Source organism: Homo sapiens, chromosome 1 (assembly GCF_000001405.40).
Source record: "Homo sapiens chromosome 1, GRCh38.p14 Primary Assembly".
In the NCBI taxonomy this organism is placed as follows: Eukaryota; Metazoa; Chordata; class Mammalia; order Primates; family Hominidae; genus Homo; species Homo sapiens.
Genome location: NC_000001.11, coordinates 246,434,429 through 246,447,052, shown reverse-complemented (window position 1 = coordinate 246,447,052; position 12,624 = coordinate 246,434,429). Strand labels below are relative to the sequence as shown.

The window sequence follows — 12,624 nt, the reverse complement described above, 5'->3', positions numbered from 1 at the left end:
TGCCATTTTTTTTTTTTTTTTTTGGAGACGGAGTCTGGCTCTGTCACCGAGGCTGGAGTGCAGTGGCACGATCTCGGCTCACTGCAACCTTCGCCTCCCGGGTTCAAGCGATTCTCCTGCCTCAGCCTCCTGACTAGCTGGGATTACAGGCATGTGCTAGCATGACTGGCTAATTTTTTGTATCTTTAGTAGAGACGGGGTTTCATCATGTTAGCCAGGATGGTGTCGATCTCCCGACCTTGTGATCTGCCCACCTCAGCCTCCCAAAGTGCTGGGATTACAGGCGTGAGCCACAGCGCCCGGCCTAGGATGCCATTTCTAAATTACCGTGTTCCTGCAGTAATAGACAACTCCTTTTAACAGTGTCATCAGATGCCTCAAGTTACATAGGTTCCTAAAATTCATCCCCATATGGTACCTATTTAAATCGTAGATAAGTTTTAATTGAATTTTAGAAATGAAACCTGTCATGGAGATCCTGTTGCAAGCTCAAAGAGCTACATTAAATGGGTTTAGAAAAACAGCACCTCTAATATCTCTGATGTGGAGGTTCCATTTATTAGAGATTAGTAGGTTTTCTCTCCCCGGTCACAGAATTTATTGGATAATATAGTGGTTTCATTTTTGACATTCTTTGAAAGATTATGTTTTTATATATAGTAAATGGTCATGCCTTTTCTTACTAGATAAATAGAATTATTTCTAGAGTTGTCTTTAGGACAAATATGATAATACTTTTTTTATGGATATATCATTGTGATGTCTTTGATTCTCTGCTTACTTGTTATTTGCTACATGTAGTGATATATTCTGCTTCACAGTTTGGCCAGTAGTAAAATGAGCCATGATTTTGGGCTCTGCTTCCTCAAAAGCACTAGGAGACAATGCAGTATCCTCTTCACTATTTCAATACTTGGTCTTTATTTTAGAGGCAATTGATATGTTTACATCCAGGGTCTTCTGACTTACCTTAGTAGATGGGAAAGTAAAGATTAAAAAAACAACCAATTCTAGTGAAGGTTTAAAAGTATGAAATGGAATTAACTGTGTGATTTTGCATGAACTTGGTGTGTGGGAAATTCATTAGTTATGCATTCATATGGTTTTCAGTCTTATCAGATGTACAGTAATGCCTTGCTTTTTATGAGTTTTTAAGTTAATTCTCTTATTCCCAGGTTTTTTTTTTGTTTTTTTTTTCCTTTTTGGATGTCCACTCAAAGGCAAAGCTCCGGTCCCATTTCAGAAGTGAGAGTGTTTATAAGAATTAAGTCTAAGTCATTCAGGCACATTAATTTCTTATCTGTACTAAGCTCTCTCAGACAAGTGGCTGGAAGTCCCCTCCATACTTGTACAAATTAAATTCCTAATCTCTTGGTTTGCAAAAGACTGTCTTAACAGCTGTAGGGGTTTTCTAACTCAGCCCTCCTAAGTTCGTTTTCTTTGTTGTTAACTGTGTTGTATGTTTTTAGACCCCGGGCATCTTAAATGCATTTAGAAATTCAGATACAGATTTGAGAGTATCTATAAAAAAGCAGAATTTTACTAGTGCTGTTTATCCCTTGGGTCAATAGTAAGAAGGACAAATTCTTATGTTCTACCTTAAACTATACTCTGATTGGGGTTACATTCATGGAAGGCAATTTTAGGGACATAGGACAGGCCTGTAGTTGAAAATATGTCTCCATTTTGCCTGAGTTGGCTTGGTGTTCCTAAAAACCTTCTTTTCACTCATAGTCTAAACTGCTGGCAAAAATGGGCAGTGATTTACACTCAGGAGAGGGTTTTATTTGATTTATTAATTTGACAGTAAGGACAGGCTTAGCAATTAGATTGTTTGGTGGACATATTTTATTAAGTAAAACTCTCCCTCCTAATGTTGTGTTAGCATTTATTGAATGTTTACTACATGCTACGTTTTGTGCTAAGTGCCTTGTGTTATTTCATTTAATCCTCACAACAATTCAGTGAAGTACAGATACTTAAAACATCATCACTGCCATCATCAACATCAATAGTGCTCCTGTCTTAAAGAGGAGGGAACAAAGCCCCAAGGAGATAAAGAAATTTATTTAAAGTCACATGGCTAGTAAGTAGTACAGGTGGAATCCAAACCCCAGACTTTCTGATTCCAGAATCCAAGCTCTGCACCCCTATGTCAAATTTGCGTATCCTAAAGCTTTTACCACATTGCCTTGTTATCTTTATTCTGCTTCTATTCTTAGAACATTATGACTGACAGCTTTTGCGTTTTGTGTGCCTGGCTTCCAATGTTGAGTTAAGCACTCTGGAGCTGTTTTTTAGATTAGTTGTCTTTAAAGTGGGTGTATATATACACTTCGGGATTCATGGAGACTTTTCAGGAATTTTGCATGCAAAAATAGTTTTAATGGTATTTAGATGCTCAATGTCTGCATTTGATAATTTCTAATATGGTTGCCTGAGAGCACCTGTGGCAGAGTGAGTCTTCCTTCCTACCTCTCCATTCACAAATTGCTTTCCTCCCACTTGACAAAGGCAGTCAGTCATGCTTCTGACCCAGCACAAATCTTACAATATTTGATTGCTTCAGGGAGTGTAAATCCTCTGGTTCACCCACTAAAGGGACCATTTAAGAATTCTTAGGTTCTGGGGCTGGGCGCGATGGCTCATGCCTGTAATCCCAGCACTTTGGGAGGCCGAGGCGGGTGGATCACAAGGTCAGGAGTTTGAGACCAGTCTGGCCAACATGGTGAAACCCCGTCTCTACCAAAAATACAAAAATTAGCCAGGCGTGGTGGCACATGCCTGTAATCCCAACTACTTGGGAGGCTGAGGCAGAAAATTGCTTGAACCTGGGAGGCGGAGGTTTCAGTGAGCGGAGATCAAGCACCTGCACTCTAGCCTGGGTGACAGAACGAGACTCTGTCTCCAAAAAAAAAAAAAAAATTCTTAGGTTCTGGGTGTGAATTTGAAGATAGCAAAGTGATGACTGCTTTGGTCAAAATCATAGATGTTTCCTCCAGGTAACAAACCCATGGCAGGACTCCATACCTTATTTCTTTCTTTTAGAATCAAGTTGATTGTTGTCTGTCTGTGGTGGTGATGGGTGGTGAGGGAGGGTTTATAGGGAAGGCAGATTAGCACTTTTATTTGAAATGAAATATGAATTTTTTGACAGAAAGTAAGTTTTATTTGATTTATTGATTTGACAGAACAGGCTTAACAATTAGATTGTTTGGTGGACATATTTCATTAAGTAAAAGAGTGAAATCTACAGCTGCAGGGTTGCAACAATAATATTTAAGATACGTATATACCATACTGGAAACTATATCCATGCCATCATTAAATTAACATGTCAACCTAAAATGTCAGAAGAGCACAAGGTTTTTCAAAATTCTTTTAGGAAATGTACAAGTGAAAAAATTGGTGTTAGGTTCCTGTGCCCATCTTCCCTGCCACTACACCAGCCCAACCCTCCCTTGCCCCAGACTGGCTAGCATCTCTATTTGTATGGGAAAGGAGTTAGGACTTATTTCTTTCAAGTGTTTTAAAATTAGATTGTTATCTACCTGAATAACTTTCATTACATTAATCTCAATTGCTGAATCGCTTTTCTGAGAGGCTGCTTCTTAATGGTGTTACATGTATATTGATTCTATAGGAGACTGTTGCCTTTTGAGGAGTTACATTGTAGAGCTTCCTAAATAAATTGAGATTCAGCTAATTTATAGTAATGTCCAACCATGTATCAAATTCCATTAGGTAAGTTGGTGAATGTAACGCTGTACTTGCAGATGGAGAAATGTACAGTTTGAGGATCAAACTGAAAGATATTAAATAGGGTTTAACACATTAGAATCTTACTCCTTGGTGAAACCAGTGTTACTGATTGGTAAGAGGAGGTTGAGGAAAATTTCTTAGGCATGTATATATGTGAACCAAAATGTTACTTAATGCAAATACATAAGAGAGTAAAACAAAACAAAAACAACTGGAAGGAATATACAAAATCCAAAATAGGAAGAGCTACCATACATTTTTAAATTTAAATAAGAAGAATTTAAATACAGTAGAGCATAAAATCTGAAGTTGGGAGCCTGGTGCACTGTAAGGGAAGTTGCTAGGCAAGAATTCTGGAAGGGAGATAAGATGCCCTGAGGTGGAGTGCACAGTGTGGAAGAACTAACCGTCCTTCCCAGGGCACAGATTCTTACCAGAGTCTGGCTCCCAAGATCATCTATCCATTCCCTTTTTGCCTTCCTTCATTTCACAAAAGCTTTGAGGAAGCAGTACCAGTGTTTGCGTTAATGGGTCTGCTTCACTTATTCATAAACCTCTGGCCTATTTCAATACTGTGTTCAAAATATATATATATTTTTAAACTTAACCTCCAACTGGTCTCCAATTTCACATCAGTATATTTCTTTATCATTAGATTCTTTCATTTTCTTATTTTCTGTGTAACTACTTTTACTTTGTTTTCTCTTTTCAGTAGTCTTTTTTTATTATTTTATTTTTTTTTGAGAAGGGGTTTCGCTCTTATAGCCCAGCCTGGAGTGCAGTGGTGGGATCTTGGCTCATTGCGACCTCTGCCTCCCAGGTTCAAGCAATTTCCTGCCTCAGCCTCCCGAGTAGCTGGGATTACAGGTGTGCGTCACCACGCCCAGCTGATTTTTGTATTTTTAGTAGAGGCGGGGTTTCACCGGGTTGGCCAGGCTGGTCTTGAACTCGTGACCTCAGCCTGCCTCGGCCTCCCAAAGTGCTGGGATTACAGGCGTGAGCCACCATGCCTGGCCTCAATAGTCTTTTAGTGAAGACTTTTCCATAAGGGTTTATTGTTTTTGTGCCTGTGCCATACCTCTAATGGATTATCACATCATTCCTTCCTTCCCTGAAGAAAAGGTACTTCATGGTATGACTCAAGTAACACCTCCATGGTGCTCCCACAGCGCTTACACATTGTAGCACTTATTATATGATATAGTTCATGGTGGTGAATAAATTGGGTTCCTCAGCTAAGTTATAAAAGCCTTGAGAGTGTGTCTCTATTATGTGTGATTCTTCAGTGCCTTCCATAGTGCCTTGCACATGATAGGCATTTTCTGCTTGTTGACTGAATGAATAGATACATGAACATCAAAGATAGTAAAGAGAAAGAAGGTGGGGCGCGTAAGTTCACGCCTGTAGTCCCAGCACCCTGGGGGCCCGAGGCGGGAGGATCACTTGAGGCCAGGAGTTGCAGACCAGCCTGGCCAGCATGGTGAAACCTCATCTCTACTAAAAACATAAAAATTAGCTGGACATGCTGGCATGTGCCTGTGGTCTCGGCTACTTGGGAGGCAGAGGCAGGAGAACCGTTTGAACCCAGGAGGTGGAGGTTGTGGTGAGCTGAGATGGCGCCACTGCACTCCAGGCTGGACGACAGAGTGAGACTCTATCTCAAGGGGGAAAAAACAAAGAAAGAAAGAAATATAGGCATTAGCCCCTAAAATGTCAGTGAGGCATTTTTTGTCCTTGTTTCAGTGCCTTTGTTGAGCCACTGGAATGCTTTCTGATCTCTTGAAGATTTGAAAGCTCCAGTGATAATCCGAAAAGGAGTGACCTGGCAGTAACAGGTAATATCAGCTTCCTGGTTTTAAATTTGCCTCCTCAATATAGTGAATGGTGGTACTTTCATTTCAGGGTTCTTTTCAGTATGAAATAAGATAACTTGGAGTCAGTGTAACCACAAATTTTGCAGCGTAGTTACAAATTATGCATTTACTCCATAGGTGAAATGACCTTGAAACAAAGACATTTTGGTACTTTAGTAAGGAAACGTACACAAATGACGACCAAGAAAGAACTGGCTCAGCGTGAATTTTACCTACCACTATTACTCATTAGAGATCTTCCTGTAAACTCCTAGTCGGTTCTTTCAAAGTCTTGGATAAAAAGCTCCTCTTCATGTGTCTGGAATGTGCGTGTACTTACGAACGGCAGGGTAAGTGGGGACGCACAAAACAGAGATTAAGGGTCACCTATAATTTACTTCTACGTAATGTAACCAGATTGGAGGACCATGTTGCTCCCCACTAACAGGTGTGTGTAATTCCCAGTGGCCTTCAACCAAGCAGTAGGCATATATAGTCTTACACACATGGCACTGAGGTTATTGTTCCATTCACAGAGGGATTTCTTCCTCTTAGGAAAATACAAAAGACGGGGTATGCCAGGACATTCAGAAAGATGGTCACAGATGCGAAAGCCCCAATCCATGGAGCTTGGTCATTAGGAAAGGGATTTTGTGAACTTGTATCTTTCTGTGAAAGCTCACAGTGCTGCTGCTGGTTGTTTTAATTACCCTTTGCTACTCCTATATCATAGTAAAAAATGAGGCTTTCCTTTTTAGTCACATCGAAGATCTTCAACATGTTTCTACATTTATTTTAACGTAGTTTTTATGCCCCCAAATATTTTTTTTCATAGATATATACTTCTAGATTTGGAGAGAGAGTTCCTACATCACTAGTTTCTGCCTGAAAATACTTTTATAAATTTGACTTCATAATTAAAAAAATATACTGTCATGATTATTTAGTTTGTGATCCAAAATATCATTAGATATTGATAGGTAGTTTGCATATCAGTGTAGTGGGTGTGACGATATCTTCCTCACAGGCTGTTTGTGAGGATGAAATAACTTCTGCAAAGTGCTAATGTCGTGCTTGGCAAACGGTAAGTACTCAATTTGTGGGAGGTATCTTTTGCTAATGTTAATTTTTAATGATATTTAGTGACATGGGGCAAATAATCACATTAAGTGGTAAAAATAGATTCCAAAATGGCATCTGAGGTCTTGAAAAATAAAATTTTCTCTATCTATATATTTTTTGTGTATATTGGTTTAATAGTGGTTGTCTTTCTAGGTGATGGGATTATTTTCTTCTTTTTATTTCTCATGTAGAGTAAGTCCTCACTCAACATCATCAATAGATTGTTGTAAACTTCAAGCAAAATGACTTCTAACGAAACCGATTTTACCACAGGCTAATGGATATAAACAAGAGTTAAGTTCCTATGACATACTTCTGATCATAGAAATATCATCAAACTTATAAAGAACTAAAACACTTTTTTTTGAGACAAGGTCTCACTCTGTTACCCAGGCTGGAGTGCAGTGGTGCGATCATGGCTCACTGCAGCCTTGACCTCCCAAGCTTAAGTGATCCTCCCATCCCATCCTCCCTGGTAGCTGGGACTATAGGGGCACGCCACCACTCCCAGCTAATTTTTCTGTTTTTTTAGTAGAGATGTGGTCTCGCCACGTTGCACGGGCTGGTCTTCAACTCCTGGGCTCAAGTAATCCGCCCACCCCCGCCTACCAGAGTACTTAGTACTTCTAGCACATTTATTGTGCTTCTAGTGTGAGAATATACAACTGTCTTTTTTTTCTTAAGAGTCAGTCTCACCCATTTTAAGTGTAGAATTCAGTGACTGTGAGAGGAGAGAAGCTAAAGGCACACTAAGGAAAGAAACAGGCCCCATGCTAAAATACTTTGAGGGTTACCAAAGGTGATAATTGTTGGTGTGCCTATGAGCGTTTGTCTCAGGAGATAAAATGTGCTGCTTCTGTTCTAAAAAATGGGCCATGTCATTGGCCTCCTGGGAAGTATTTTTTATTGTTTCCAAGGTGAAGATACATGAGAAGGCTTCTAGGCTTTTACATAAAGTCCACGGAAACTTGAATTGTTGGACTATACAGTGAATCCTTTGAATCCATGGTTTTCACATCTGTGGATGCAGCCAGGCTTGGATTCAAAATATTTGGACTGGGTGTGGTGGTGTTTGCCTGTAGTCTCATTTCCTAGGGAGGCTCAAATGGGAGGATTGCTTGAGCCCAGGAGTTTGGGGCCAGCCTGGGCAACATAGCAAGACCTTGTCTCTTAAAAAAATAAAAATAAAAAATTGGGAACCCCCCCCCCCGAAAATAACAATGTGGCAATAAAAATAGTACAAATAAAACCAATACAGCATAACAACTATTTACATAGCATAGTCAGGGGTCCCCAGAGCCCGGGCCGAGGACCGGTACCACTCCCATGGCCTGTCAGGAACCAGGCCGCACAGTAGGGAGTGAGTGGCGGGTGAACGAGCATTATTGCCTGAGCCCTGTCTCCTGTCAGATCAGCAGCGGCATTAGATTCTCACGGGAGCGTGAACCCTATTGTGAACTGTGCATGTGAGGGATCTAGGTTGCACACTAGATCTCACAGTATGAGAATCAAAGTAATGCCTGATGATCGGATGATTGGATGATCTGATGGTTTCATCCCAAAACCATCCCCACTCCGCCCCCCGCCCCAGCATCTGTGGAAAAGTTGTCTTCCACGAAACTGGTCCCTGGTGCTAAAACGGTTGGGGACCACTGTTATACGTATTCTAGGGATGATATAAAGTATACAAGAGGATATGCATAGTTTATATGCAAATACTATGCCATTTTATAGAAGGGACTTGAGCATCCATGGATTTTGGTATCCGTGCTGGGGGCCAGGGAGGGGGTTGGTGTCCTGGAATCAATCCCTGGAGGATACAAGGGAGGGAAGAGTACCAGGAAAGTAGTTCCTCTGGTCCTGAGTTGACTTCGTTTTTCAGTGTCTTACTCCACTTGTCTCTTATCATTCACCCCTAAGCCTGTGCTCTTGATGGTTGAAAATTTATTTTACTATGTGTGTTTTATATTAGAAATCTGATCATACGATATATTTGCAGGAAGAAATATATAAATAAGAGACTACTGACTAGATTTTGTTTTCCTATTGTTAACATCATTTATATTTTGGCAAAAGGGAGTTGGATCTCATATATAAAAATTCCCTCTGAACGTTTGCCAGAATCAGTATGCTGTCATTCCTAGTTAAAAAGATTTTCTTTTTTCAAACTTAACATGCATCTCCTTTTTTGCATAGCAGATGGGAAAGATCAATGAGCTGCAGTAGAGAATTACAGGGTTTTTCCCCCCTCTATTTGATCTTTGATCTTAAAACAGCTTTTAACCCTATAGTAATCTCCCAAGAGATTTGAGAAAATATTTTGTAAAACAAAATTATGAGGACTATGAATACGTAATTGGTATTCTCCCAGCATTCTGACAAACTTTAAGCAAATGCTTTTAAGAAATCATTGTCAGCTGTTATGTGTTTTTTATTAGGTTGAATTCTCAGTATAATTTATGTCCACATGCATTATTGCATTTCAGTTTTGAATTTTATTGTTATGGAAATAATGAGAGTTTTCTTGATATAACAACAGCTGGAAAAAATGACAGTGATCAACAGTCAAAACTCTAAGTTTTAAGATTAAAAATTATATTAGAATATTTTGGAATGCTGCTTTTAAGTTGATTTTTCAATAAACTTTAAATTTGTTTCATAGCGTTATCTTTTAGCAAACAAATTCACGCATTAATAAAAACAAAATTGTGTACAGAAAAAGCATGGCTTCTAATCTTAAAAGCAAGACTAAACACAGAAACATCTGGACAATGACAAGTTCATGACTTTTGTTTTTTAACCCATCAGATTGCTGAGGTTATAGGGCAATCGGCTAGCTTGACGTCTAAGAAGAGACAGATGTAGGGAAAGACATCAGCACTTGCTTACCTGGGGCACCCACAGCTGGACACTGGTAAGCATTCAGCTAGAATAGTTAACCAAATTGATGGATGCTGCATGTGGGCTGGCAAGAAAGTGTGAAGACCCTGGGAACTGTGGATGAGGGGAGTTCATACCCACCTGTAGGCTTTTTCTCCAAAAACTCTACCAGGTGCTCCCAAAAAGACAGGTGAGATTCCTGAGAAAGCATTCTTTGTCTCTAGGAGAAGAGCAGCTGCTGCAGATACAGTAAGAAACTCTGAAATCCCAGCACTGTGGGAGGCTGAGGTGAGTGGATCACCCGAGGTCAGGAGTTCGAGACCAGCCTGACCAACGTGGTGAAACCTTGTCTCTAATAAATACAAAAAATTAGCTGGGTGTGGTGGCGGGTGCCTGTAATCCCAGCTACTTGGGAAGCTGAGGCAGGAGAATCGCTTGAACCCGGGAGGTGGAGGTTGCAGTGAGCCGAGATTGTGTCACTGCACTTCAGTCTGGGCGAGAGTGAAAACTCTGTCTCAAAAAAAAAAAAAAAAAAGAAAGAAACTCTGGCAGGACCCTTATTCCCTATCGTCCTTTTCCCTTCTACTGAATGAAAGCAGAGAAAGGACAAAACAATGACCATTACCTTTGGGGCTCTGGTGAAAACCCTTTACACCTGGGGAAAATAGAAGTAATAGAAGTAAACCTGCCCTTGGGGGCGGGAGCATGTTGGGTCACAGATTGGAGGAGACTAACGAAGCAGGACATCTAAATACATCTTTACCTTGTGGAACAGAAAAAGAACATGATTTAGGCAAGACACCTGCCTAAATAACTGATCATTACTCTTCAAAAGTATCAAGTGTCAAAGACAAGGAAAGACTTAGGAATTATGACAGATCGGAGGAGACTAGGGAGGCAGGAACCTAGATACTTTCTATGTATTACTGTGGTGATGTCAATGTTAAGGGAAGCTGAGTGAAGGGGTAGATGGGAATCCTCTGTGCTATTATTGTGACTTTTATGTAAGTGTAAAATTATTTTAAAATCAAAGGGGAAAACATTGTAGGCCCCCCTTTTAAACTGCTGCCTGAGATAGTCTATAAGAACAAAGTTCTTGCCTTCAATTATTGGAGATTGAAATTTGTAACTTTTAGTTCACTTTAGGAAAATTAGGTTCTTTTTTTGTTTAAGTCCATGTTTCCATGAAGGAAGATTAGGTTCTTTTTCAACTTTCTTCTATTGTTGTATAGTTTTTTTTTTTTTCAAATAAGAAAGAATGGTTCATAGTTTTTCTCCCGACACATTTCATAGCCTTTATATTTTCTCTCTCAAGTGGGTGAAGGAAATTTGAATATGTAACTACTACCCACTGAAAGCTTCTGGTTTAATAATTTTAAAAAAACTTGCCACCTATTTCCAACCCATGTTTTCATTACTGACCCAGGAAATGTTGAGTAACAACTATGTGAGAAGTACTGTGCTGGAACCCGTGATACAAAGACTATTAAGGTCAGTGTCTGCCCTCGATAAACCTTCAGGGAAATGTAGCAAAAACTCTAATAGAGGGAAATTCAAATGCCACGTGGGACATTCTAATTAATGTAGCTTCATTTAGCGTGTTTTGTCCAGTTTCCTTGTATCTTCTCCTTGGAATTCTTGGAATTCTTGTATCTTCTCCTTGGAATTCTTGGAATTCTTGTATCTTCTCCTTGGAATTCTTGGAATTCTTGTATCTTCTCCTTGGAATTCTTCTATCATTTAGAGTCTCAACGCTATTACTCTTCCCTTATTCCCCCTTCCTCATTCAAGCTATTTTGGAATTCTCAGGAGTTCCTGATGTTTTCCTAACTTAGAGAAAAGCAGTGGCTTTGTCCTGACTGTTCCTTATCTAGTATTACAGTTACTCAGAATACCTCTTTGCGTAACACACTACCCTTACCAAAGAAGCTTCAGAGTCTGAATATAAAGTTTTCACTTAACATTTTGCTGCTTTGTTTTGTTTATTCCATGGTCTCTTCATAGAATAAAACAGTTAACTTATGAAATCCGTGAAACCTCTTTGGAAAAAAATGTATATACATTTTGCAATAATTTCAGATAATCACAAACACATTCTTTAAAAAAAAATAATTTCAACTTTTATTTTAGATTCAAGGAATACATGTGCAAGTTTGTGGCATGGGTATATTGTGTAATGCTGAGATTTGAAATAGGGATGATCCTGTCACCCAGGTAGTGAGCATAGTACCCAATAATTTTTCAATCCTTGCCTCCTCCTTTCCTCTTCTCCTTTAATAGTCACCAGTGTCTATTGTTGCCGTCTTTATGTCCAGCAGTACCAGTGATTAGCTCCCACTTATAAGTGTGAACTACATGTTATTTGGTTTTATTGTTTTGCATTAATTTGCTTAGGAGAATAGCCTCCAGCTGTTTCCATGTTGCCGCAAAGGACATGATTTTGTTCTTTTTTTATGGCTAAGTATTCCATGGGGAGCAGAATACTATTCCACACACACCCCATGTTTTCTTTATCTAAACCACTATTGATGTACACCTAGGTTAGTTCCGTGTTTTTTGCTATTGTGAGTAGTGCTGCAACAAACATATACGTACATGTGTCTCTTTGGTAGAACAATTTCTTTTCTTTTGGATAGATACCTACTAATGGCATTGCTGGGTCAAATGGTAGCTCTGTTTCAAGTTCTTTGAGAAATCTCCAAACTGCTTTCCACAGTGGCCGAACTAGGTTACATTCCCACTAACAGTGGATAAACGTTCCCTTTTCTCTGCAGCCTCGCCAGCATCTGTTCTGTTTTGACTTTTTAATAAAAGCCATTCTGACAGGTGTGAGATGGTATCTCATTGTGGTTTTGATTTGCATTTCTCTGATGATTAGTGATGTGGAACATTTTTTCATGTTTGTCTGCCGCTTGTGTGTCTTCATTTGAGAAGTGTCTATTCATATATTTGCCCATTTTGTATTGGGGTCATTTGTTTTTTGCTTGTTGAATTAAGTTCATTATAG

At 39.5% G+C, this 12,624-nt stretch overlaps 1 protein-coding gene across 4 annotated transcripts in view; it reads left to right on the top strand.

Annotated features, from left to right (window-relative positions):
- The window catches only part of SMYD3 (SET and MYND domain containing 3), a 757,933-nt gene that overhangs the window by 60,227 nt on the left and 685,082 nt on the right, over positions 1 to 12,624 (top strand). The window contains exons 1-2 of one of the 4 annotated variants that reach the window (XM_024449136.2): positions 7,339 to 9,651; positions 9,842 to 9,905. The exons of the other annotated variants lie outside the window; for them this stretch is intronic. The gene's annotated coding sequence lies outside the window, so the exon portion shown is untranslated. Of the gene's footprint in view, positions 1 to 7,338; positions 9,652 to 9,841; positions 9,906 to 12,624 lie in introns of those variants that run through there. 4 annotated transcript variants of the gene reach the window in all.